The sequence below is a fragment of the Homo sapiens genome, chromosome 11 (genome assembly GCF_000001405.40).
Source record: "Homo sapiens chromosome 11, GRCh38.p14 Primary Assembly".
Taxonomy (NCBI): domain Eukaryota; kingdom Metazoa; phylum Chordata; class Mammalia; order Primates; family Hominidae; genus Homo; species Homo sapiens.
The window spans coordinates 61,492,866-61,519,030 of NC_000011.10; the positions used below are offsets into that span (position 1 = coordinate 61,492,866).

General features: G+C 55.1%; 2 protein-coding genes, 1 long non-coding RNA gene and 1 other non-coding gene across 21 annotated transcripts in view, besides 3 other annotated features; 3 read left to right on the top strand and 1 right to left on the bottom strand.

The window, feature by feature from the left end:
* Positions 1,500–2,098: an enhancer, noted in NCBI's record as "H3K4me1 hESC enhancer chr11:61261837-61262435 (GRCh37/hg19 assembly coordinates)". NCBI's record gives its function as "activates a minimal SCP1, AML or CMV promoter by ChIP-STARR-seq in primed H9 embryonic stem cells {active_cell/tissue: H9 hESC(primed)}" and the evidence as "EXISTENCE:reporter gene assay evidence [ECO:0000049][PMID:30033119]".
* On the top strand, positions 3,727–13,784 carry LOC105369329 (uncharacterized). Of its 3 annotated transcripts, none has more exons than NR_188527.1 (3): positions 3,727–3,814; positions 6,898–6,970; positions 12,897–13,784. It is a non-coding gene; the product is annotated as an uncharacterized LOC105369329 (long non-coding RNA). The 3 variants fall into 3 exon arrangements; NR_188529.1 differs by lacking the exon at positions 3,727–3,814 and adding an exon at positions 6,298–6,468 and having other exon boundaries at positions 6,898–7,031; NR_188528.1 differs by lacking the exon at positions 3,727–3,814 and adding an exon at positions 6,298–6,462.
* Positions 6,298–6,498: a silencer, noted in NCBI's record as "peak1286 fragment used in MPRA reporter construct". NCBI's record gives its function as "represses an SCP1 promoter by STARR-seq MPRAs in K562 erythroleukemia cells {active_cell/tissue: K562}" and the evidence as "EXISTENCE:reporter gene assay evidence [ECO:0000049][PMID:32103011]".
* A 1,946-nt stretch (positions 13,785–15,730) lies between the features above and the next one.
* On the top strand, positions 15,731–15,792 carry MIR4488 (microRNA 4488). Its single transcript, NR_039708.1, has one exon. It is a non-coding gene; the product is annotated as a microRNA 4488 (primary transcript).
* A 91-nt stretch (positions 15,793–15,883) lies between these two features.
* Positions 15,884–18,153, top strand: LRRC10B (leucine rich repeat containing 10B). Its single transcript, NM_001145077.2, has one exon. It carries the CDS (start codon positions 16,134–16,136, stop codon positions 17,010–17,012), a length of 879 nt encoding a protein of 292 aa, NP_001138549.1. The 5' UTR covers positions 15,884–16,133; the 3' UTR covers positions 17,013–18,153.
* Positions 19,976–20,589: an enhancer, noted in NCBI's record as "H3K4me1 hESC enhancer chr11:61280313-61280926 (GRCh37/hg19 assembly coordinates)". NCBI's record gives its function as "activates a minimal SCP1, AML or CMV promoter by ChIP-STARR-seq in naive H9 embryonic stem cells {active_cell/tissue: H9 hESC(naive)}" and the evidence as "EXISTENCE:reporter gene assay evidence [ECO:0000049][PMID:30033119]".
* Positions 20,849–26,165, bottom strand: part of SYT7 (synaptotagmin 7) — a 74,674-nt gene continuing 69,357 nt past the window's right edge. For all 16 annotated transcript variants that reach the window (XM_011545343.3, XM_011545340.3, XM_011545337.3 and 13 more), the window contains one exon: positions 20,849–25,866. In XM_011545343.3, coding sequence (XP_011543645.1) covers positions 25,762–25,866 — 105 coding nt within the window. In that variant the 3' untranslated portion in view covers positions 20,849–25,761. The remainder of the gene's footprint in view (positions 25,867–26,165) is intronic.

The window sequence follows — 26,165 nt, forward strand, 5'->3', positions numbered from 1 at the left end:
AAAAAAAAAAAAAAAGAAAGAAAATACAAAATATTAGCTGGGCGTGGTGGTGCGTGCCTGTAATCCCAGCTACTCCAGAGGCTGAGGCACGAGAGTGGCTTGAACCTGGGAGGCAGAGGTTGCAGTGAGCCGAGATCACACCACTGCACTCCAGCCTGAGCAACAGAGTAAGACTCCATCTAAAAAAAAAAAAGAAATGCCTGTTCCCCCTTCACCTTCCACCATGAGTGGAAGCTTCCTGAGGCCTTCCCAGAAGCAGATGCTGTTGCTATACTTCCTATACAGCCTGCAGAGCTGTGAGCCAATTAAACCTTTTTTCTTAGAAATTACCAAGTCTCAGGGTTGGTTGGTTGGTTGTTTTTGAGACAGGATCTCCCTCCATCGCTCAGGTGGGAGTGCAGTGGTGCAACCATGGCGCTCTGCAGCCTCAACCTCCCGGGCCCAAGTGACCCTATCATCTCAGCCTCCTGAGTATCCGGTACTACAGGCTCACACCATCACACCCAACTAACTTTTGGTATTTGCTGTAGAGATGGGGCCTTTCCATGTTGCCAAGGCTGGTCTCAGACTCCTAGGCTCAAGCGATCCTCCCACCTTGGCTTCCCAAGGTGCAGAGATTAAAGACATAAGCCACCATGCTGGACACACAGACACAAAAACAGATGTACCGAGACTTTCAGCACAGACACACACACACACACACACACACACACACACACACACACACGCGGCACCTCCCTCATCTCTATTTCGCGTCTTCATTTCTTCTCCTCCGAGTGTCCTTTTACAGCTCATGTTTCCTGCCCATCCTTCCTCTATCTGGCTCAATGTGGGGTGGAGGAGTTATGGTGCCGGGGACACTGGAGCCTGATTACACCCGCTCCATCATCTCCACCTCCCTTGTCCTGCACCAGGCGGCAGTTTGGCCAGGGCAGGGGGAGAATTCATGAGGCACAGCACCGGAGAAGGCAGGTTGGTCAGATTTGGGGGCGCCTCGAAGGCCATGCTAAGGAGCCCTTCTCAATTATGAGCCTCAACAAGGGCACGGACCATATATGCCTTGTTTACGCTGAAAGTCCAAAGCCCAGGACAGTGCCTGGCACATATGGAGGTGCTCAGTAAATACCAGATGAATGAATGAATGAATGAATGAATGAATATGGCAGATGTGGGCTTCTAGGCATCACCCACCTTACCAGGATGTCAGTCGCCCAGCCTCCCTGAGTCCATGCAGTTGGCTCCCATTTTGCTACCCGCTACTTGCCCAGCTGCCATGGCCGTGGCCCTTATGGACCACTGCGTTGCCCCCAGGATGCACCTTTCCTCTCTGAATGTGCCCCCTGGTCTCCCCTTGCACGGAGCCCAGCCTCTGACCAACCTCATTAAGCTCTCCTGCAAGTGGCCTAAGGGCCTCTACATTCCAGCCTTGGCCCCTGGTAGGCGCCAAGACCAGGGTAGAGTCAGTGCTGGGAAATTCTCCGTGTCCCCAGGACAGGAAGAGGGGACACTTTCTATCTGGTGGCTCCTCAGGATGCCAGTCCCTATTGAAAGGACATCTTGCTGTGTGGCTTCCCTCTTCTGCTCTGTGATGTCAGGGGACAGTGGGAGAGTTCCGGTCTCTCAGCATGAGAGTTTAGAAGACATGTGAGGCAGTTAGCCCCTAGGGGATGGCCCAGAGGAGCAGCAGGCCAGGGGCGCTGACCCCATGGCTTCATTTTCAGTGGCCTCATCCCCTTGCTTCCAGAGAGCATCAGCCCCAGAGCTCTTTCCCCTCCAGGCCCAGGCAGTCGGCAGAGTGTACCTGTCACAGGCCTGAGCCCTGGAATCCGACTGCCTGGGTTCAGATTCCAGCTCTCCACAACCCAAGGCAGCTCCCTGCCATCAGTCGGTCACTTAACCCTTCTGTGACCTCCAGTTGTCACTTAACCACACTGAGCTTCAGCTAATAGCAGCAGCTGCCTTCTGGATAAAATCCAACATGCACAGAGTGCACACAAATAGAAGCTGCCCTGATGCTGGAGCAGAGGAAACGGAGGCCAAGACAGAGGTGGAGACTTGGTCAAGGCCACACTGCAGGCCGGGCGCGGTGGCTCATGCCTGTAATCTCAGCACTTTGGGAGGCCGAGGTGGGTGGATCACGAGGTCAGGAGTTCAAGACCAGCCTGGTCAACATGGTGAAACCCTGTCTTTACTAAAAATACAAAAATTAGCCGGGCGTGGTGGTGGGCACCTGTAGTCCCAGCTACTCAGGAGGCTGAGGCAGAGAATTGCTTGCACCCGGGAGGCAGAGGTTGCAGCGAGCCAAGATCGCGCTACTGCACTCCAGCCTGGGCGACAGAGTGAAACTCCACCACGCCCTCCGCCTCAGCACCCCCCCAAAAAAGCCCATGCTGCAGATTGTCACAGGGTCTGGTCTCTGTCTCCTGCTTGGCCCTGGGTGGGCCCCCTCAAGACCCTTGCCTGAAGCCGAGCGAGGTGGCTTACGCCTATAATCCCAGCACTTTGGGAGGCTGAGGCTGGAGGATCACTTGAGCTCAGGAGTTCAAGACCAGCCTGGGAAACAAAGTGAGACCATCTTTACACAAAATTAAAGAATTAGCTGAGCATGTTGGCACATGCCGGTAGTCCCAGCTACTCGGGAGGCTGAAGTGGGAAGAGAGCTTGAGGCCAGGAAGTTGAGGCTGTAGTGAGACATGTTCACACCACTGTACTCTAGCCTGGGTGACATACTGAGACCCTGTCTCAACAAAACAAAACAAAACCCTTCCCTGAGAGCAGCCCTCCTCTCTATCAAGGGTGGGTGATCACCTGCACAGCCTGACCTGGAAGGCCTTGGCTGCCCTTCCAGTGGTTTACTCCCACTTAAGCCCCCGTCCCTAAGTCCAGCTTCTGCCAGGCCCTCCTGGCAGCTGCCTGCTTCTCCCTTCACCTGGTAACCAGGCTTTGGGTGTTCACAGAGTCAGTCCTTCTGGCAGGTGACATTGCAGTTGCTGCCAGAAGTTTCCTGCCCCCTCCTCAACGAATATTTTTAAAAACTTGCTGAGGTGTACAGGGATGATGATTAACCTTTATTAAGCCCCCACAGCCTGCGGGTGCTGAGAATATCCGTGGGCCTTCACCTTTCCAGCAAGAACACAGAGGGGCCTCCCTCTGGGGGAAGTTTAGGGACACAGGTGGGTGCGGCGCTGACGGCTTTGGTGTGGGGGTGTGGAGCCTAGAGGGCTGACGGGACAGCAGGTGGGGTGGCTGCTGGGCGCCGTGAGATCAGACACGGCTTGTGACGCGTGTGGACGCGTGTGAGGTTGCTGTTTGTTCGTCATGGCCTGGTGGCGGCTAATGTTGACAGGTGCCATCTGGCCTGAGTCACGTGGTAGCAGGCAGCACCACCGGCTCGTTGGCTTGACAGCTGTCCAGCTGGGAACACAGGGCTCCTGGGGGTGGGGGCGGTTAGAGGCATCTGTCTTTGGGAACTGGAGGCCTGGGGGTGGTGGGAGGCCCTGCGTGGGGAGGCTGAGGACGGGGGATATGATACACCCAGACAGATGGAGTGTGTGAGGCTCTGAATCGGTTCCCCAGTCTCCTCTCTGACCATCTGGAGGGCCACCCATTCCTGAGGAACTGTTCCCCGAACAAGCAAGTATGCAAGGGCAGAGGATGAATCAGACCCAGCAGGTCCCACTGAGGGCCCCCGTTGAAGATCAGAGGGGTCTGGCAGGGCCTGTGGGACATCCCGCCATGCCTCGCTTCCTCCCCACACTGCTGCAGACAGGCTCTGCCCAGGACCTTTGTGATGGGCAGGTCAACCTGACCAGAGGTGAGGCGACCTGCCCAAAGCCATGCGGTGCCGGCCCCGTGAGCGCGCTCGCACTCTCTTCTGAATCCAAGCCTCTCCCCACCCCATCGCTTCCCTGGGGGTCTCGGATGAGCAGGAATGGGGCCTGGGAACTTCCTGGGAGAGCCAGGCAGTGATAGGGATGGGCTGTGATTTCTTTTGCTAAAGAGGTGAGTGCACTTGTGTGAGAGTGTGTGTGTGTGTTTGAGTGCTAGAGTGTGTGAATGTGACTGTGTGTGTGAGAGCATTAGTGTAAGTGCATGAGTGTGAATTTGGAACTGTGAGTGTATGTGCCTGAGAGTGTGAGTATATGTGTGTGAATGTGAGTGTGAGAGTTGTATGTATGAGTGTATATGTAAGTGCGGTGTGTAAGTGTATATGTGTATGTGTATGTGTATGTGTGGGTGTGTGTTGGAGTGTGAGTATATGTGAAAATGTATGTGTGCGAAGATGATTTGTGTGTATTTGTGTGTATGTATCTGTGTGTGTGGGTGTGTGTGGGTATATGAGTGTGGGTATGCGTGTGTCTATGTGTGTAAGTGTATATGTGTGGGTATGTGTTAAGTGTGTGGGATATGAGTGTATGAGTGTGTGATTATGAGTGTGTGAGAGTGTATGCGTGTGTATTTTGTGAATGTGTTTGTGGGTGTGAGTATACGTTAGTGTGAGTATATAAGTGTGTATGAGTGTGAATATGAGACAGTATATGTGTGTATATATGTGTGAGTGTATGTGTGTGTGTGGGTGTGAGTGTGTTAGAGTGTGCGTATATGAATGTGTGTGAATATGAGTGTGAGTGTATATAGGTGAGTGTGAGTGTGAGTGTATGTGTGTGGGAGTGGGAGTGTATGAGTGTGTGTATGTGTGTGAAGATGATTGTGTGTATTTGTGTATGTGTGTCTGCGTGTGTGGGTATATGAGTGTGTTAGTGTGTGTATGTGAGTGTGTGTGTAGATGTGTGGGTGTGTGTTAGAGCGTGTGGGTATGAGTGTATGTGTGTATGTGTGTGTGTAGATGTGTGTGAGTATATCTGGGTGTAAATGTGTGTGTGTTAGAGTGAGTGTATGAGTGTGTATGAGTGTGAATATGAGTGTGTGTGAGTGTATATATGTGTGAGTGTATGTGTGTGGGTGTGAGTGTATGAGTGTGAGAGTGTGATTCAGGTTGGAGAGCCTGTGTGTGTGTGTCTTTAGAGTCCCCAGTTAAAGGGCCAGGGCAGGAAGGTGTGTGTGTCGCTCACCTGGCCTAAGCTTGGGTGAGATGCTGAAGGCGCTGTGCTCAGAAAAGGCTATATGAGCCCCTGGGCCAAGCAGCCTCCTATGGAGCCTGATGACAAGGTTGTGGTCCCTACGGTCAGACGGCCTTGGCGCAGAGCCATGCTCTCCTGGTGGGCTCTGGCACTGGGGGCGGTGGGCTGGCATTGAAGAACATGGGCAAAGCTTCTCCTGAGCACAGAACAGCATTTGACAGTGTGGGGCTTCTGGGAGGACAGTGCAAGCAGGGGCAGAGGGAGAATGATCACGCGACTCCCTGAGTGGTCACAGGCTGATGAGGTCTGACGATGGAGGCTGTCAGTCAGAGTTCATCACAAGCAACAAAAACCACAGCTGGCTAATTTAAGCAGAAAAGGAATTTCTTAAAAGGACTTGGTCACTCACAGAATCTTCAGGTGGACCTGAGAATAAAACTTAGAGCCCGGCCGGTCGTGGTGGCTCACGCCTGTACTCCCAGCACTTTGGAAGGCCGAGGCCGGCGGATCACCTGAGATCAGGACTCCGAGCCAGCCTGACCAACATGGAGAAACCCCGTCTCTACTAAAAATACAAAAATTAGCCGGGTCCGTGGTAGCAGGCGCCTGTAATCCCAGCTACTCAGGAGGCTGAGGCAGGAGAATCGCTTGAACCCAGGAGGTGGAGGTTGAGGTGAGCCGAGATGGCGCCATTGCACTCCAGCCTGGGCAACAAGAGCAAAACTCCATCTCAAAAAAGAAAAAGAAAAAAAAAAACCAAAAAACTTAGAGCCCACCCAGCCAGGAAGCACAAAGAAAATCGCCCCATGGCCCTGGGACCACAAAGACCCCAGGCCTCCCCACCGCTGCTCCTGGGACACAGCCCCTGCTGCCGCTCCTCACACCGCCCTCAGGAGGGATCTGAGTGATCCCTTCTGCTCAGCAGTTCTCATTTCCTATTCAGAATCTGACGTGGGTGTACTTGGGGGCGACTTCCGGGTCACAGGCTTCCACCTCGCTTGCAAGGGATGCCGGGAAAGTGAGCTCCCAGCGTTTTCAGCTGCCTTGGGAGGAGAGTGGGCTCTGTTTTGTAAGGCAGGTGGATTCTCCAACATAGCCAGGGGCTACAGATGCTGGGAGGCCCAAAGAAATCAAATGTCCTTCCCACGTGAGTTACCATCACTAAGAAGGGCATTTGTGGGGTACCTTCTGTAAGCGGGGTGCTCTCGGTGCTTTTACACACCTAGGGAGTTTGCTGTTGGCCTGCGAAGACCCTTTATGGGACATGGATCAAAAGTGCTGTTCCTCGAGATACTTACCTCCAGTATAGGATCCTGGTGTCAAAAGGAATCAGATACGGCTCCATTGTACATGGCATGACTTGTATAGCCAGACAGAGCAGGTATATGTGAGTATGGACTTCATAAGCAATACTCAAGACCTCAAAAGTGTATCTTGGGGCCGGGCGTGGTGGCTCACACCTGTAATCCCAGCACTTCAGATGGCAGAGGCGGGTGGATCACCTAAGGTCAGGAGTTTGAGACCAACCTGGCCAACATGGCAAAACCCTGTCTCTACTAAAAATACAAAAATTAGCCGGACATGGTGGCACACACCTGTAATCCTAGCTACTTGGGAGGCCCAGGCAGGAGAATACTTGAAGCCGGGAGGTGGAGGTTGCAGTGAGCCGAGATTGCGCCATTGCTCTCTAGCCTGGGTGACCAAAAAAAAAAAAAAAAAAAAAAGTGTATCTTGGTCTATCAGTAACAACTGGATTTAGCAAAGATGTGGACTTCCCCAGCCTAATCTCTCGGCTACACCCATGTCTGTCTTGCAGGTGTGGAAACTTCTGGATGCCTGCTCTTGTGAGTTCACCTCTATGTCTACTCTACTGAGGCCTCTCCATACAGGTAGAGTGACTTGTGGGAGGCCTGTTACATCCTCAGGCCACACCTGGTAAGGGAAGCGCAGGTGGGTCCCACCTGCCCTGGTGCCCCCCTCAGGATACCTGGGGGTATATACTTTTTCTCATGCCACCCCCAGGCTCTGCCCAGATGGGGCTGACGACTGGTTTTTGGGCTGGCATCCGTGTTTCCGGGCGCTGCTTGCCCGTTCTCTCCCACCTGCCGGTTGAACCTTAATCTCCTTTTGGGTGCTATCTTCTGCGATGACGCATCCTTCCCCTCTCCAGGGCTTATGGCATCAGCTCTCTGCTCTCGAAGTTCAAAGCCAAGCTTTTTTGGACCTACACAAAAGATTTCTCTTTCAAAACTGGTTGTTGTAAGGGTATAGTCTCAGCTCTGGGTTTCAAAGCCTCTTTTGCAACTCAAAGCCAAGGATTTGACTCTTTGTTCTGAGTTTCCCTGGAGAGCAGGGAATATAGGAAACCAACTTAGCATATGAATGCAAGTCAATGGATATAAGGAAATTGTCTACAGTGGAATAAGTTAGTATCTCAAAATGACAGCATTCAGCTCCCATACACTGTCACTGACGCTTTGTGATAATCCTTTGAGAAAGGGTGATTTTGCCCGATCCAGAGCTGAGACTAGGGTGAGGGGGGGCAAGGCACTTGCTCTAGACACCATATTTAAAGAAGTGCCAAAAAAACCCACCTCCATAATTAAGTAATAGTTTGATGCAATCATTGTAAAAGTAAAAATTATTGCCAAAAATCCATGATGAAAAAAAATCAAAATTTTAAACGAAGATGAGATTCGTGTTACTGATTTTTCCTTTGCTCGAAGGTTCCAATAATGGCTCCACACAGCACTGGCACTTGGCACTGATCTGTTTTTTTTTTCCTTTTTTTTTGAGACAGAGTCTCACTCTGTCACCCAGGCTGGAGTGCAATGGCACAATCTCAGCTCACTGCAACCTCCACCTCCTGGGTTCAAGCGATTCTCCTGCCTCAGCCTCCCGAGTAGCTGGGATTACAGGTGCACACCACCAAGGCTGACTAATTTTTGTATTTTTAGTAGAGACGGGGTTTCACCATGTTGGCCAGGCTGGTTTCGAACTCCTGACCTTATGATCCACCCGCCTTGGCCTCCCAAAGTGCTGGGATTACAGGCGTGAGCCACCGCGCCTGGCCCTCTGATCTGGTCTTCATGGAGCTCACATCCTAGTCCATCGGAAACAGACTTCAAGCAAATAATTCACAGTTATTATTTATTTAGTGTGATTGGAATAATTACTTTGAAGGAGAAATGTGGGAGCTCAAGAATCTATAACAGGGGCTTGACGTGCTCTGAAAGATCCTGGAAGGGAAGTGTGTTAGTCTGTTCTTGCGTTGCTATAAAGAAATACCTGAGGCTGGGTGGTTTATAAAGAAAAGACAAGATGGGCATATTGGCTCACTCCTGTAATCCCAGCACTCTGGAAGGCCGAGAAGGGTGGATCACCTGAGGTCAGGAGTTTGAGACCAGCCTGGTCAACATGGTGAAACCCCATCTCTACTAAAAATGCAAAAATTAGCTGGGCATGGTGGCACACACCTGCAGTCCCAGCTACTCAGGCGGCTGAGGCAGGAGAATTGCTTGAACCTAGGAGGCGGAGGTTGCAGTGAGCCTAGACTGCTCCATTGTACTCTAGCCTGGGCAACAGGAGAGAAACTTTCTCAAAAAAAAAAAAAAAAAAGAAAAAAGAAAAAGAAAAGAAAAGCTGTTTATTTTGACTCATGGTTCTATAGGCTGCACTGGAAGCATGGTGCCATATCTGCATCTGGTGAGGGCTTCAGGGAGTTTACAGTCATGGCAGAAGGTAAAAGGGAGTAGCGTTATCACTTGGTGAGAGAGGGAGCAAGAGATAGGAGGGAAGGTCCCAGACTCCTTAACAACCAGATCTTGAGTGAACTGAGCAAGAATTCACTCATCACCAAGGGGACAGTGCTAAGCCATTCATGAGGGATCTGCCTCCATGACCCCAATACCTCCACTAGGCTCCATGACCCACATTGGCCGTTACATTTCTTTTTCTTTTTTTTTGAGATGGAGTTTTGCTCTTGTTGCCCAGGCTGGATGGAGTGCAATGGGGTGATCTTGGCTCACTGCAACCTCCACCTCCCGGGTTCAAGCAATTCTCCTGCCTCAGCCTCCCGAGTAGCTGGGATTACAAGTGGGCACCATCACGCCTGGCTAATTTTTGTGTTTTTAGTAGAGACGGGGTTTCACCATGTTGGCCAGGCTGGTCTCGAACTCCTGACTTCAGGTGATCCGCCTGCCTTGGCATCCCATAGTGCTGGAATTACAGACGTGAACCACCGCGCCCAGCCAGGGATTACATTTCAACATGAGATTTGAAGGGGACAAACATCCAAACCATATCAGGAGGTTTCAGCTGAGACCTTAAGGATGAGTAGTGTGAACCAAGCAGAGTGGGAAGAAGAGAATTCCAAGCAGAGGGACTGGCATGTCCAAAGGTCCTGGGGTGAAAAGAAGCTCTTCAGGTTAGCTCATCTCCAAGTGGTGACTCTGGGATCCAGGATCCTTTCCATCTTTAACATCACAGTAGATAAATGGAGCATGGAGGATTGTGCATTCATGTGGTATGTTTCACTTCTGCCCACATCCATTAGCCCAGCAGTCATCCCAGGGTCTTACCCTCTCAGCTAGGAAAAGTAGTTTTACTGAGGGCTCAGGAAGAAGAGGGGGAAAAAACAGAAGTTGGTCACTCTCAGTAGCCTCTGCCCCAGGGGGACCAGGCCAGACAAGTCCTTGGTAGTCTTGGTTGGGACCTGGATCTGTATTCTTGGAGCAGATGATCTGATTTGCATTTGGCCACAGATCCAAGAAGGTATTAACATAAAGAGCGACTGCCAGCCATGACCCCAGCATTCCTCCCAGGAGGAAGGAGTCATCAAGTCCACTTTGTAGCTTGATGGCCTAACAGAACCCACTGGGGTGGTCAGAGTTCCATCCACAACATTCTGGAATGTGGCCTTGGGAACCAGTCAGCTTCTCCCCCTCCTCACACTCCTGTGGCCTCTGTTGCTCCAGCTCTGGTGTCTCTGAGGGGGACCTGGGAGGACTCTCAGCTTTCAACAGATCAGGCAGGTAACTCACAGAGCTAGGGTTCCAGGTAAACATGATCCCCAGGCCACGCCTGGGCTCTGGTTTCTTAGGCAGGATGGGAGGAGTAGGTTGGCAGTGGCTGAGCCAGCCTGGTGAGTTTGGCTATCACTGATGGGCTCTAGTCTAACGGTGGGCCAGAGACTGCCTGGAATTTGGTATCATATAAGCCCTGAGCCCAGATCACAGGCCTAGGATGACCCAGGACCTGGGGACCTCTTTGTTCTGTCTTGTGGGACCTGATTTGGGGTTCCTAGGCTTGCCCTGTGGATTTCAGGATACCCCCTAGTTAGGCAAACATATGAGCCCTGGGGCCTGGGATGGGAAAGGGGAAGTGGTGTGGCTCATAGCCACTCTTGTCCTCTCTGACAACATCAAAACCTCCAAGCAGGGCACCCCTAGAAATATTTTTGCTGTTTGCAGGATGGAGGTGAGCGTTTGAGCACCCAGGGTGGTTTCTCTAATTTCTCCTAGACCACAGAGTCAATGAGACATCGTCGACAAAGCCCGGGCTTTGCAATAAGATGGACTGGGTTTGAATCCTGGCTCCGCCCCTTACCGGCTGTGTGACCTTGTAGCTTGGCAGTGGCTGTTTAACCACACTGAAACTCAAACTACTTAACCTCTCTGAATCTAATCTGTTTCTTCATCTGTAGAGCCAGAGGGTGGTGGAGAGTATAGTACCTGCTCGGCAGAGCTGTTGTGAAGAATAAATTTGACAACCTGTATGTGCTGAGTAAACGACAGCTAGCATTATCCTGTGGGAGAGAACCAAGAGGAGAGAGGTTAAAGTTGCACAAAACCCTTTCCCCAACACACACACATACACATGCATGCACGCATGCACGCACACACGTACACGCATGCACACACGTGTGCGTGCACACACACACACATACCCCCCCATATCCTGCAGCCATAGCCAAAGGGATCCTGTTAAAACATGTGTCCTCTGTGCAAAATTCCCGGATGACCTGTCACCTAGAGTCAAAGCCAAAGTCCTCATGAAGGACAGGGGCCCTCCTCGGCCTGCCCAGTCCTTACTTTCTGTCTCTGATCTCCTGGACCACCATGCTTCCCCTTGCTCCCTGGGCTGGGCCCCTTGCTGCTCCCAAAGTCCCAGGCATACTCTTGCCCTAGGGGCTTGGCACTGCCATCTCCACTGCCAGGAGTGTACCCTGCCATCTTTGCTCAATGCCATGGTCTCAATGAGACCTCCTTTGGCCACTCAGATGTTTTTTTGTTTTTTTTTTTTAGACAGAGTCCAGATCTGTTGCCCAGGCTGGAGTGCAACGGGCAATCTCAGCTCACTGCAACCTCTGCCTCCCGGGTTCAAGCAATTCTCCTGCCTCAGCCTCCCAAGTAGCTGGGATTACAGGCACCCACCACCACCCTGGCTAATTTTTGTACTTTTAGTAGAGACAGAGTTTCACCATGTTGGTCAGGCTGGCCTCGACCCCCTGACCTCAGGTGATCTGCCCGCCTCGGCCTCCCAAAGTGCTAGGATTACAGGCATGAGCCATCGTGCCCGGCCTTAGCCACTCAGTTTTAAAGGACAGCCCCTCCCCACCCCCCACACATTTCTCAGTCCTCCTCTCTCTTTTTTTAAAATTAAAATTAAAATTAAAATTTTTTTATTAATAGAGATGGACTTTCACCATGTTGGCCAGGTTAGTCCTGAAGTCCTTGCTTCAAGTGATCCACCTACCTTGGCCTCCCAAAGTACTGAAATTACAGGTGTGAGCCAACATGCCCGGCCAGTCCTCCTCCTTTCTTTTCCCTGCTTTATTTCTTCCGTAGCCTGATCATGACCTGACACGTGTTTTGTTGATGATCTCCACTCGCATGAATATAAGTTCCACAAAGGCAGGGGGTTTGTCTATTATGTTTACATTCATAGTAATCCCCAGTGCCTAGGCATAGAAGTAGGTGCTTAAGGTTTGTTGAATGAATACCTGAAAGATGGCAGGAACTGAAGTTCTGGCTGATGCAGGAAAGGGGAGTGGGCCATGAGGTGAGGACATCATCGCTTTCCTTTTTTGCCAAATGAATGGGTTGGCCTAGACACCCAAGAGACCATGAACCCCTGGGAATTGCGTACATCATTGGGTGAGTCTCTGCCTCCATGCATTTTTCTGGAACAAGGGTCCCTACCTTCTTGCAGACATTGAAGAGAGCCTGTGACCTCCCAGAGGCGCTAAGCACCCTTCCAGCTCTGACATCGTATAGTTGGCTCTAATAGGTTTGAATCCTTGTTTTCTAAGAACCTAGGATGCTAAGATCCCATCATCTTATTCAGCAGCCAGGGGGGTCCTGGCCCCAAGGCAGGGAGGGGAATCCAGAGGGGACTTTGGCAGGGTCAGTGTGGAGGGGGCGGTAGTGCCTATGGGGACATTGGAGGGGAGACAAAGGAGACTTGTATATTACGTGTGCCGTTTTCTTCCTTTTATTTAAAAGAAAATAGGTTTAAAGCAAGTTTGATGAAATGTGAACAATTGTCAATGCTGGGTACTGGGCATGGGGGTGTTTATCACAGCGCCACACTTTTCCTATATTTTAAGAAATCCTTTAAAAAATACAGAGTTGGGGGTGGGCACTAATAGTTATAGCTCATGATTAGTAACAGAGAGGCAGTTTCTGGGGCCCTGGGGGACCTGCACTTTGGGTGTTTTTGCAGTGTGTGTGGGGGCAGAGGGGCTGGCCAGGGTCTGGGACCCATGCCTGGAGCTGACAGAGTCCTCTCTCCTCCCCTGCTTCCCCCTCCCAGGTCTCAGTTTCCTGCCTTCCTGGGAAGTGGGGAAAGGCTGAGAGGCCCCGTGCTGGGGGTGAAGCTAATTCATTAGTTACGCCTCAACAAGGACCGGGTGCCTGCAGTGCCAGCGTGATTCATCATGATGATTGCCCCACTGCCAGCCTGCGTGGGCCTGGAACGCCAGCACATTTTACCTTTACCCACTGAGAAGGGCCTGGTGGGAGGTGAAGGTACAGGATCTGCCGAGAGCAAGAAAAAGACTCTGAGAAAGAAGAGGGCTGGTCCTCCATGCTCTCGGCCCCAGGAAGCTCTGCCAGGCTGGTGCCGGGGTGGAGAGGCTCATGTGGGCTCATGTGGTGCTGCCTGTGCTGATGGAGCCCAAGAGGGCAGCCTGGCGCTGGGTGCCAGCCTGAGCATGTGGCGAGGCTGGGCTGCTGAGCCTCCTCCTCCACAGCCAATGTTCCCTCAAACTGCTTGGGGGTGGGGGGAGGGACTCATCCTCATCCCATTAGCCTGGCTGGGTATTCCCTACCTTTCTGGTCTCTGAGAGACTTACCTCTTCCAAGAAGTCCTCCCGAATGAGTAGAAGGGAGAGAGCTGGATTGGAACTTAAGTGACATCTGGGAGGAGCCTGAAGCCCCTCCGGTTGGGGCTGAGACTCCTATACCCTAGGTCTGGTGTCTGGGTTCCACCTGGGTCCTCTACCTTGGCCTGGATTCCTGCTTTCGTTTTGCCAGTCTCTCCCAGGATGGGGGTGCATGGCTGGTTCGTGGCTCAGAGCAACATCTGCCTCTGTGTCCCCCCATCATCTGTCCGCCCCCTAACACCTCTTGCCATATTAGAATTGCTATTGCTCTGTCCTTTCATTCATGTATCCAACAAATATATATTATCTGAAAAAAAGCATGTGCTGAATAATTTCATTTGTGTGAAATTCAAGAACAGGGAAAACTGATCCATAAGGATAGAGGTCAGGATCATAGTTGCCTCTGTGAGGTGGGGATTGACCGCAAGAGGCTTGAGAGAACTCTTGGGTTGATGGAAATGGGACAGGGGTGTGTACATTTGTCAAAACGCATCCAAGAAGACACTTACGATCTATGCATTTCACTGTATGCAATGTTTGCCTCCACTTTTTTTGTTAAGTTTTTTTCAGCAAGGCGCAGTGGCTCATGCCTATAATTCCAGCACTTTGGGAGGCTGAGGCAGGTGGATCACCTGAGATCAGGAGTTCGAGACCAGCCTGACCAACATGGTGAACCCCTGTCTCTTCTAAAATACAAAAATTAGCTGGGCGTGGTGGTGGGCACCTGTAATCTCAGCTACTTGGGAGGCTGAGGCAAGAGAATCGCTTGAACCCAGGAGGCGAGGCGGAGGTTGCAGTGAGCCAAGATCACGCCATTGCACTCCAACCTATGCAACAAGAGCAAAACTCTGTCTCTAAATAAATAAATAAATAAATAAATAAATAAATAAATAAATAAAAATTTGCATGGAATGTCTACTGTATGCTCTAGAGCCTGTGCCAGCAGGGAAGGAGATGCCCAAACCTCCCTGGCTGGGCAGCTTACTTTCCAGTGGGGATGGTTCCCTTCCTCCCGTTGCATTGGCAACTGCTCTCTGCCCTTGGGCTGTCTTCCATCCCCCTTCCCCTGCAGTGGGGATGGCAATGGGGGTGGGCCAAAGGGCAGCGTGCTCTCCTGAAGTCAGTCCACTCAGCCAGTTACATGGGTCACACCAGCCGGGTTCAAGAGAAGGCAGGAGGCAGGAGGCTTGGAGCCCGAAAATTTGGCTCCCGGGCTGCAACCTCTATGCATTGTGTGACCGTAAGCAGGGTGCCTAATCCCCGCGAGGCCACTTCTCTCATCTTTCATGTGGGATTATAGTGCTGTCTTTGTAGCTTTGTCCAGAGAATCAGAGGCTCTGTTGTGAGAAAATTCATTGCTGGAGGTGGAGTGAACCTTGTTTCCATCTATCGGTATGGTTTATGGTTAGGAACACAGGCTCTGGAGTCACACTACCTGGCTTCGAATCCAGCTGCTCATCAGCTGGGTGACCTTGGGCACTTCACTCAGCTCAGACTGACCCAGCTCAAGTCATGTCTCTTTGACCCTCAGTTTCTCCATCTTTAAAATCGGGGTGATGAGGGTGTCTACCTCATAGGCTGTGCCAAGGACTCAACGCAATGCTTTCAGCATAGTGCTGGGCACACGTGGGCTCGAAGCCAGTGACAGCCAGTGCTTTTCTGCCAGGAGCTCCCGCAGGAGGGCTCCGGATGGGAGGTGGGGGGAGAAGGCAGGGGGGAACTGCTGCTGGTGGTAGCAGGCGAAGGAAGAAGAGTCATGGAATGAGAGTGGCCATGATTGGTGGCTCAAAGGCGTTCACGTGTCCCAGTCCTCTGTCCACCGCAGCCACACACAGACTTTGAGCGTCGGTGGAGGGATCCTGGCAGGAGAGAGGGGTGTGAGTGTAGCAATGAGGAAGCTGTAGGGCAATTAGGCGGGGCGGAGCCAAGCCCTGGGGCCCGGTAAAACCAGCAGATGTGAAAAGGGCCGGACAGTAACACTGTTTCGAGTTACTACACTGAAGTGATCCCAGCAGGTAGGCCGGCCGCACGCCGCTGGACGTGAATGGCTCGCAGTGACCGCGCCCCTCAGCCCCTCCTTGTGAGCCTCTAGTCCAGAGTCTTTGATCCACCGCCAGCGTTTCCTTCGCCTTCTTGGACCCGCGGCTCTGGGGCGCACACAACCGCACACCAAACAGCGTCGGGCGTCGGGTCTCAGTGCCAGGCTTGGCCGGGGCGGGGAATCTCTCGGCTTGTGCTTGCTCCGCGGTGGGCTGGATGGGCAGGTAGGGGGCGGGCTCCGGCGCTGGGACCCCACTAGGGTGGCGCCTTGGCCCCGCCCCGCCCCGCCCTCCCTCCGCCTCATTGGCAGCCGCACGCGCGTCGGGGTTGCCAGGGCGACGGGTCGCTAAGCTGCGAGTCAGCGCGAACCCTAGCCAGTCGGCCTCCGGCGGAGGCAACGGGGGAGGCCCGAGGGCGGGCGGTGGAGCGCGGCGCGCGGCGGCGGTGCCCCAAGTGGGTGCCTCCTCCCGGCCCCGCACGGCCCCCCTCCCGGCGCGGGGGAAGGCCGGGGCGGGGGGCCCGGGGGCCGGCGCGGCTCCGGCACCGTCGGGGCGGCTGGGGGGCGGCCGGGGCGGGGCGATGCCTGGCGGTGGCAGTGGCGGCGGCCCCGGCCGGGGCCCGTGACCATGGGCATCGCCGAGTCCACGCCGGATGAGCTGCCGTCGGACGCAGAGGAGCAGCTGCGCAGCGGCGACCAGCAGCTGGAGCTGAGCGGGCGGCGGTTGCGGCGGCTGCCCAGCGCAGTGTGCGCGCTGAGCCGCCTGCAGAAGCTGTATGTGAGCGGCACGGGGCTGCGCGAGCTGCCGGAGGAGATCGAGGAGCTGCGCGAGCTGCGCATCCTGGCGCTGGACTTCAACAAGCTCGAGCGACTGCCTGACGGCCTGTGCCGCCTGCCGCGCCTCACGCGCCTCTATCTGGGCGGCAACCGGCTGCTGGCGCTGCCCGCCGACTTCGCGCAGTTGCAGAGCCTGCGCTGCCTCTGGATCGAGGGCAACTTCTTGCGGCGCTTCCCGCGGCCGCTGCTGCGCCTGGTGGCGCTGCAGTCGCTCCAGATGGGCGACAACCGGCTGCGCGCGCTGCCGGCCGAGCTGCCGCGCATGACGGGCTTGCGCGGCCTCTGGCTCTACGGCAACCGCTTCGAGGAGTTCCCGCCCGCGCTGCTGCGCATGGGCCGCCTGCACATCCTCGACCTCGACCGCAACCGCCTGGGCGGCTTCCCCGACCTGCACCCGCTGCGCGCGCTGCGCGTCTTCTCCTACGACCACAACCCCGTCACCGGGCCCCCGCGCGTCGCGGACACCGTGTTCCTCGTGGGCGAGGGCGCCGTCGAGCGCATGGCGGAGCGCGACGAGCCCACGCCCCGGCCTCCGCCCCGGCGCCCAGCGCGGGCCTTTGAGGATGAGGAGGAGGAAGACCTGCTCATAGGCGGCGCTGGTTCCCGGGCTCTGGGCGCCCCCGGGGGCAGCTTCCGCGCCCTGGAAGCCGCTCCAGGACTGGGCACCTGAGCCTATGTTCTGGCTGATGGGCTTCAGCCACTCTGAGAGGAGGGGCTCTAGGAAGCTTTGGCTGGTTAGGCCTGCGGGACTGGTGGGTCCCTACTTAGGTCAATGGAACGGCTACTTTTGGCGAGTTGCCGGGCACAGGCAGGGCTGGGGCTCATCTTCAGACACTCCTAGGTAGTAAGAGGACTGACTATACCCTGGCTGATCTGTGGGCAATTGTCAGACCAAGAAGTCTGGGCTGGGTCCAGTCCCCGATGGAGCCACTGATAACAGAGGCACCAGCTTCCTCCTGGAACCAGGGTCTCTGAGGGCCACAGAATTGTCACGTCTCCCTGAGTCTGGATGCAGGGCACCCAACACCCTCCCTCTTTCTGGGGTTTGGGTCTCCTAGGCCCACCCTTTCTAGGACAGGAGCCGCTACCTCTGGGATGGACTGCGTGCCTGTGTGGGGCAGGACTGCCCTTGCGAGGAGGGCCTGGCCCAGGAGCAGGGGCTTGGAGTGGGGCTGGTGCCCGGGACAGAAGTGGGAAATAGATGGGGGCCCCAACACCGAAGCTGCCCTCACCCCTCCATCAGGGCTGATCGTACATACCTCCCTCCTCGGCCCCCTGAGATTGGTATGGGGCACAGAAGGCAGGGGGTCACCCCCACCCTATTCTGTTCTCTTCTCCCAGCCTCCCAGCATGTGCCTGGAACCTTGCTGGGAAGAGAGAGCTCCCCCTCCACTCCCCACCCCATAGCCTGAGCCTTCCAGCTGTCAAGTTTGAAAAGAAGCCACCGTGCCTCCAGGGCCTCCTGCACCGCAGAGAGGGGCTCTCTGCTCTGGGAGGCTGCTCAGCGCCTCTCCCACGGCCTGCACTCTCCTTTCCCTTAAATGGGCACAGCCAGGGTGGCTGGCATGGGACTGGCACTCTGTACCTCCACTCCGTCACCAGGGACAGCCCCGAGGGGGTGAGGAGAGGGGCCTTGCTCTGCAATTCCCAGAGCCAGATCTTCCTCATCCAAGCAATAACGGGACGAGGGAGCCAGGGCCAAGGACACTCAGGGACACTGTTGGGGCAGCGGCCCCACATGGTAATGTTTTCTTTAGAGAGAAGAAAAAACAACTGGCTGTAAACGTAAATTATATTTCTTGGAGAAAGAATGTGCATTTCCCATGTGCCTGTTTATTTATAATCCCTGGGAGCACCGGAACCCACTGCTGTGGGGACCCTGGGCTCCCTCTGGCACTGCCCCCGCCCCACGTGCTCCCCGCTCCATGTCAGACCGACCCTGCCAACTGTGGTGTGCTGTCTGTCTGGGGAACAAGTGCTGTCGTCAGAAGTGGCTTTTGTCCCTCGAGGCTGCTCTCCTGTCTTGCGGAATCCCGCAGCTTAATTCTGCAGAAGATTTTGTATGTTTTTGAGTCACCCTCGAGCTGGGCCGATGGTTCCCTACTCTTTCACTGGCACTGCCCCTCCACCCCCTCCATGACTCTAGACTCGCCTCCCTCCGTCTCTCTCGCTCTATTTTCCTCTTTCTGTCTCTCTCCTTCTTAGTCTCTTTTTGCTCAGTTTTGGCATTTCTTTCTCCCCTTGTTGTTCAGGAAAATAATAAATTAACGATTTAAAGAAAGGAAGAAAGTTGTAAAACCCAAGCCTGGAGGCCCATCTCCCCGGAGAAGATCCTGCCAGATCTTCATCACCATGGCAACAGGGGCATATGGGGCCAGAAGGTCAGGCCCTGCCCAGCAGCTCTGCTGGCACACTGGGCTGGGCCCTGGCTAAGGAGGAGGCTGGGCATGGGTCTGGGGCTGTCAGCTTGCAAATGAGAGTGAAGGCCTTGAACGGACAGAAAGAGGTGGTGGGTGGGGAAGATTGGAGACTGCCACCTTCCCAAGGAGGAAGAGGGTCTGGGGCCTGGCTGCTGTAGACCTTGTCCCTCCCAGAGTTCCCCCTGTTGGGGTTCCATCAGGGCCAGTGGGCCTTTCAGGGGTCTGGAAACTTGGAGAAAGTAATTTGAGAGAAGATCACTCAGGTGGGGTAGGAGCTGCAGCTGACTGGGGACTCTCCTCTTGACCTGCCACTTGTATCACAGCATAGGGAAAATACCCCTGGGCCTACAATCAGAAGGCAGGGGTTGCAGGCCTGGTTCTGCTATTGACCAAGTGATCTTGAGCAAGTCACGACCCCCCTGGGCCTTAGCTTCTTCGTCTGTACACGAAGAGTTGGGTTTATTTATTTATTTACTTTACTTTTATTTTATTTTCCAAGATGGAGTCTCTCTCTGTTGCCCAGGCTGGAATGCAGCAGCATGATCTTGGCTCACTGCAACCTCAGTTTCCCAGGTTCAAGCAGTTCTCCTGTCTCAGTCTCCTGAGTAGCTGGGATTACAGGTGTGCACCACCACGCCCGGCTGATTTTTTTGTATTTTTAGTAGAGACGGGGTTTCACCATGTTGGCCAGGCTGGTCTCGAACTCCTGACCTCAGGTGATCTGCCTGTCTCGGCCTCCCAAAGTGCCGGAATTACAGGCGTGAGCCACTGCACCTGGCCCAAGGAATTGGGTTTATTTAGATCTGATGCTGCAGCTCAATACTTCATGCAAGGGGTTTGTTTACCTTCCTTTCATGCAAATCTTAGACACAGAAGCAGCAGGGTGCAGAGGCAGCCATGGTCACCTGCAATAACTGCTGTCATTAGTGAGCTCAGGTCTCCTCCCTCTGTCTGATCTGTTTCCCTGTACCTCCTCCCCTGCTGCTCTCACCTGAGGACTCTAGGTTGGGGCAAAGTCCTGGCAATGAGTCCCCCGGGCCATCCTGAGGCACTCAGGGCCTTACCCTTTTGCTTTGTCAAACGTGGCACCCGCAGCCATGACTGCTTGCCAGCTGAGCAGGCGCTCCCCCAGGGAATGGGAATGGGCTCTGTCCCTGGCCCTGCTACTCACTTGCTCTCCACCCTCAGAAGCCAGTCCCTTCTGGAAAGTTTGAGTTTGGCTAAATTGGGTGCTGATGCTACAGAGCACGATTGAGGGTCTCTGTCTCCATGTGAGTAGGGAGGGAGCTAACTGCCAGGGAAAACTGGGTGTCACGGCTCCCCTCGGTGATGGAGATAGCACTGTATTAGGAGTCCTAGCATTCCCCCACCCACAACTTCCTGTGATTCCCACTTGGCCTCTGGGGAGTAGGGGGCAGGGGAGACTGGAAGGGACGCTTGTAACAATGGGACGGGATGGATGGGCTGCCTCTGCGGTTCCCCACATCGTCCTGGGGCAGTCAGAGGTGGGCAGGCCATGGGGGAATAGGGCAGGGAAGTTCTGCAAGAGTCATGTTTGTACCAGGGATTCAGGGGCAGAGGCCAAGGGCGCTGGTGGTCAGAGCAAGAAGCTTCCTTCCTACTGTGGGAACCAAGTGGAGGGAAAGGCAGAGGAGGCGGCAGGGCAAGAAACAGGGTTGGGGGGGGTGTGGGCGCGAGTGACTCACCCGTAAGCGGTGTGAGGACTCCCAACCCAGTGCTCACTGTGTCACAGAAGAGCTGCTTGGTCCCTGGCTGGCAGTCAGGTCTGTGAGTGGAATGGAATGGCTGAGAACTGCGCCTGTTCTTGAGGCCCCCGCCCCCACCAGCCTCCAGGCAAGCAGCCCTGCTGGCCAGTGTGGCAGCAGAGACCCAGGCCTGGAGCCTTTTCTAACCTTGTGAATGCCATTCCTCACCCCCTTCCCACCCACCCTCATGGGACTCAGGAAAGTGGGAGAACAGGTTCTTGGAGCTGGGGGCCCTACCCAGAAGTCCCTCCCTGCCTCCCATGCCACCACACTGGCTTACTCAGCCATCTGTCCCAAAGCTTCCCCAAGACACCTGGCGATCTTGTTCTGAAGATGAACGTTTATTAGCACACCTGGGCGTGCCACATGGAACATGTATGCAGACAGGGATCCCTGCCCAGGGGGCTCACAATCTACACAAGACACGACACATACACGCAGGACACAGACACGGGGAGCGGGGCGTCTTCACGGGAAACAGATGGTCTGGGGAGCCACGAGCTGGGGCATCGGCGTGCTCAAGGCTTGTCCTTCTGGTTGTCTTTGCGTGGGAGGGAGAGGAGCGCAGGACGTAACCCAGGACAGCCTTCCAGAAAGCAGCAGTATCCAGGGGGGGACTCACAGGAGAAAGAAAACACCAGAGGGCGGTGGTCCCAGGTACAGGGAGGGGTGGGGGAGCATCTCAGAGCAGGCATGGACGAAGACAGACCCAGAGAAGCAAAAATGGAGGAAGGCAAAAAGTCCAGGGAAGGGCCCGAGCCAGTGGCAAGGGACTGCCCCCTGTGCTGGGCCTGAGCTGTCTCTGACTTCAGGCTCAGTTTTCCAGGGCTGCTTTCATGGAGAGCGCCTGAACAGAAGCTCTGGCCAAGGGAGCCCCTGAGGCTACTTACCTGACCCCGGGGCTTCCTCTGATCTCTGGAACAGAGATCAGAAGTGATATCTAAACCAGGTTGTGGGAAATGAGGGACAGACAGCTTTGGATGGGGTACTTAGTGCAGCTCCGGGAGGCAGCTGCTGGCCCCAAGTGCTGGGAGCAGAGGGCGGATGGGATGGCCCGCTTCACTCCTGGTGGGGGCAGGGGCCAGCAGGTGGACACATGACAATGGGGATGTGCTCGTTCCTTTTGTGCCTGTGTCTGAACCAGATGTAGCACCTTCCTTCTGAAGTACCCTGAGAGCTGCGGGGGCTCAGCTTCCCCTGGGCTGGGTGGGGAAGAAAGGGCAGGGGATGGGGATGGTTATTGCTTTGTTGTGGCCAGAAGAAACAGGTGGAAGGAAAGAGCTTGCCCAGGGCCACAGAGGCTGCAGAAGGGATTACAACCCAGCTTCCCACACCTCAGGCTGGAACCTGTTCTATTGAGTGGAAGAGACTTTTCTAATCCTAAAGAATGAAACTAGAAGAGGGCTGAGAGAAGCCGCAGGTCCAGCCAACAGACACAGAGCTCATTGTCTTTCCTTTTCCCACCTCAGGGACCAGGAAGGAGGCGCTGGCCTGAAACTACAGTGGCCCCATGGATGGTGGTGGGAAAGCTGGAGCGTCCCCCTTTGGTTTGTCTGAGCTGCCTTGGAGGGTGGCAAGTGTCCTCTGGGAACTGAGGGAGGGGACGTCAGGCTGGGTGACCCTGGAGGGCACCCCTGAGGCCTAGAGAGGACTCTACTCCCAAAAAGCCTTGTGTCAGGCCTGATCTGGGAGATGTAGCTGCCTCTCTGCTTTCTGGGAAGCCAGTGGGATCATATTCTATAGAGATCTGAGGATGGCTGGACACTCGGGAAGGGCCTGGTCACCAGTGAAGTCAAATCCCAAAGGTGACACACTGAGGGGAGGCTCAGCCCCGGGGCCCCCATCCCCTTCACCCCACTGCCTCTGCCCCCAGGGAGGTGAGGGAGGGCTGGGACCCACGGAGGAAACAGCCAAGGCCCTACTTTTTCACGATCCTTTATTAATCAGAACAGGCCTTGCCACAAAAAGCAGGGCCCATTCCCACAAAAATATGATTTTGCAAAGAGGAAATCTTGCTGGCTTAGAGGGTATGTGTGGTGGAAAAATTTTGTATGGTTCTTTTTTTCCTGTTTTTTTTTTTTCTTCAGTTTTTCTTCATTTCTCTTCGCTGCAAAATTTTTTTTTTTGTGATGGTGGGTTTTTGTTTTATTTTTTATAAAACACTTGCACTCAAGAACATACAAACAGTGGCCACCAATCCCCACCCCTGGGGCTCCGGGGAGCCCCCCTGGCTTGTTTGTGGCTGTTTTCCTCTGTCCCTTCCCTGGCATCTGGTGCCAGAGGGCAGGTGCGGGGGTCCTGGGGCGGGTGGAATTTGTACAGCACTTTCATGGGGAGATGGTCACAAGAAAGGAAACCAGGACAAGATAAGGACTAAGTCTAGGGCACCCACAAAGATGGCAGACGAAGCCCATGAAAGGGCCTGCGACAGAGTGAAGAGACGGATGGGCCTGCGTTGGCCTCAGCTAGCTCTGGAGGCTCTGTGGGGGAGGGGCAGGTGGGCCTTGCAGTCAGGATTCGGTAATTACACTTTGCTCACGGGTAGCACCTTCGGAGTCCTCCTGCCTTGACCCCCAGGTCAGGTGATGGTGGCCTCACAACCTCCCCTATGAGGTAGGTGAAGTATTATTACCATCATTTTACAGATGGGGAAACCGAGGCCCAGGGAGTGCGGGTGACTTGCCCAAAGTCCTGGGATGGTGGCAAGGCTCCGGTGCCCTCCCCCCACCCTCAAGTTCCCCCATTCTCTGCTCTCCTATTGCCCTAGACCGCCCCCGCCCCATCCCATACCACCCTTACCTCCCGTGCTAGCCTACCCGGCCCTCGGCCCACCGCTTGCCGCCCCAACATAGCATCCCAGAGCTCCACCTGCACGTGGTGGTGGTGGGGCGCTGGGGAAGCCCAAGCCTGGTCGCTAATGTGCCTGGGTGGGGTCTGGTTGGGAAGAGACCCCTGCCAGGAGATGCTCTCTGCATAGGATTGGCTAAGAGCTCTGTGGGCGGGGCTCGGGAAAAATGGGGAGCCGTTGCCCCGCCCACTCGATACAAGTTGGTTGGATCCCCAGGGCGAAGGCGCCTGGAAGGTGGGGGCTGGCTCACTGGGCGGTCTTCCGCGGGGCAGGCGGGTGGTGGGGGGACAGGAAACCGAGGCGGATCCAAGAGAGGAGTGGAGAAGGGCAGATCCCCTCCTCCGCTCAAGACTTCCCACCACACTCTCTCCCACGTCCACGAGGCCTCGGGGTCGCTGCCCTCCCGTCCCGGCTGGGGGCCGCTCCCCAGCCCGCCAAAGAGGAGGATGCAGTTGGGGCCGACCCCATTTTAAGCAAAGCTACAATATAGAAACATTTGGATTTACAAGGAACGTGGGTGACTATTTGCTTTACATTAGCATTCTTCACTCTACAAAACGATTCACCTACTATGTATGATGTTCCTCCAGATCCCAGGGAGAGGAAATGGTGGGGGTGTGCGATTTAATTTCAGAAAATTTCGGTATGGGCAAAAGGCGACCCGTCTACTGCAGCAAGCAGAATGCTCAGCTCAAGGGGAAGCCGTTCGAAGGAAAATGGTTCCCAAATGCCAATGGTCTCCCCACGCCCTGGATGTGGGGACCCTATCCAGAGTCCCCTTCTTCTCTTTGGGGTGTCACAGGCCCATCCAGAGTGGAACTGGGGGCTAAGACCACGGCCACAGACTGTGGGGGCCTGGCGCCACCTGGCGGTAGTTCTGGGAATGTCAGGCCCAGGCTCGTGGACCCCCAGGATTGGAGGCTTTGTCACCAGCTGGGTCTTGTATCAATACCAGGACCAGCGTGGGGATGAGAGGGCTTAAGCAGGGATCAGCCTGAAATCTGCCGTCTCCAAGGGGAAGCCAGTTTTAGTCTCATCAGTGGCCGAGGCAGAGAAACCACAGCTTCTTTGTGTGTGGCAACCTCAGAACTCACAGAATCCTGGTCTTTTCCCTGCCTCCTTTCCCTGCACTGTGAGTGAGTCGGGCAGAAGGAGCTGCTCCCGGGGACCAGGGAGTGGGGAAGGGTGAGAAGACAGTCCTGGAGAAGGTCAGGTGATGGACGATCAGAGACCACGCACGATGAGACGGAATGAATGGAAGGTCTACAAGCATTGGGGGATGGAGGGGTGGAGGAAAGAAGGGTGGAGGTCTGCACAGGCAGGGAGAGATGAGGAAGGGCAGGCAAGCTGGAAAGCATGGAGAATAGGGCAGATGTGGCTGCGTATGAGGTGTGGGAAGCTGGCGGGGGGTCTTTTGATGAAGGAGTTAGGGCAAAGCTAGTCGGGGCTCGGGACCCCCTGAGAAGGAAGGGAGATGAGTCCTGGTGGAATGCTATGCACACAGTAGGTGCCTAAAAGGTGTGAGTCAGTGTTCAAGAGATGAAATTGCTGAGGAGGGAACTACTTCAGATTCTGAGCAGAGGGGGGCACCAAGGGGAGAAGGGGAGGAGACGGGGGGATGGCAGGAGGCAGCCCAGTTCTCAGCCCAGCTCCAGCAACTGCAGCTCTTCTGTTTCTGACCTCTGCCTCACCCGACCCCACTCAGCCCTATGGGCCTCTCCTCTCACACCCCCGGCCTCCAACCCTGCCTGGCCTTCACAAAACCTGCCTTCTCTGTATAGTCCTCCGCATTTCCAGGCCTCTGTCCCCACGCACACACACAATGGACACAACACGAGTACAAAGGGCCACAGCTCCAGGACCCAGGAGCGGGCTATATACTATCCTCGACATTCAGGGCCCAGCCGGCACCTGAAACTGCCCTGGGGATGGGCCTCTCCTGGCCAGGCCGGGGCCAAACGCCTCAGCCTCCCCTCCCCGGGTCCACATCGGGGGCTGGAGAGGGAGTGGCCTCTCTCCACTCCAGGTGCTGCCTTAAAGAAAATGGGGGACCATGCCCACCTGGCGGGCCTCTGGAGGGGTCTGCCTGTCTGGCCGTCTGGCTCTCGAGCTCCCCCAACTTCTTTAGTATTAGTAAGTCAGGAAGAAAAGGGGCAAAGCAGGAAAATGCCTCCCAGAGCCCCTTCCCCGGAGCTGGACTGTGGGGGATGGGGCTGGTACTTCCTAGAAACGGGGCCCAGTTGAGTCCTGGGACCCCTCCCTGGCTGAGCCCTCAGGGTCCTCCCCTCCCTATGGCAGGGGGCTCAGGCCGGGCGTTGTGCATAAAGTGGTGAGGGCATGATGGGGACCTGGGCCCTCGGCCCCCTGGGCCTCCCTTGGCCCCACTCAGGCCTTCAGCTGGTGCCACTGGGCCACGGGCTGCCGGGGACGGGCAATCATGTCCTTCCAGTGCTTCACCTCCCCTGGCCCGCTCTTCCAGGACAGGTAGATCTGGGGAGAAAGGGGAGACGATGGCATCGGCACAGGCTCCAGGGCACTGGCCCTTTCCCCCACAGGGGTGACACCCCAACTCCACCATGATACCCTAGCCTGTGGCCCCCCAGCCTCCACATGCTGTGACAACCTACCCCACAGAGGCGCTCTCCTCCCTCCCCCAGTCAGCCTGATCTATTTTCCTGGTTGTCTACCCCCACACCCCCAAGCCTGGGCACGCCAGGCCTCTCGGAATTAGACTGCCAACCTATTTTGCAGTGGGGTCTGGAAGGTGGGGTTGGAGGCAGCTTGTCTCC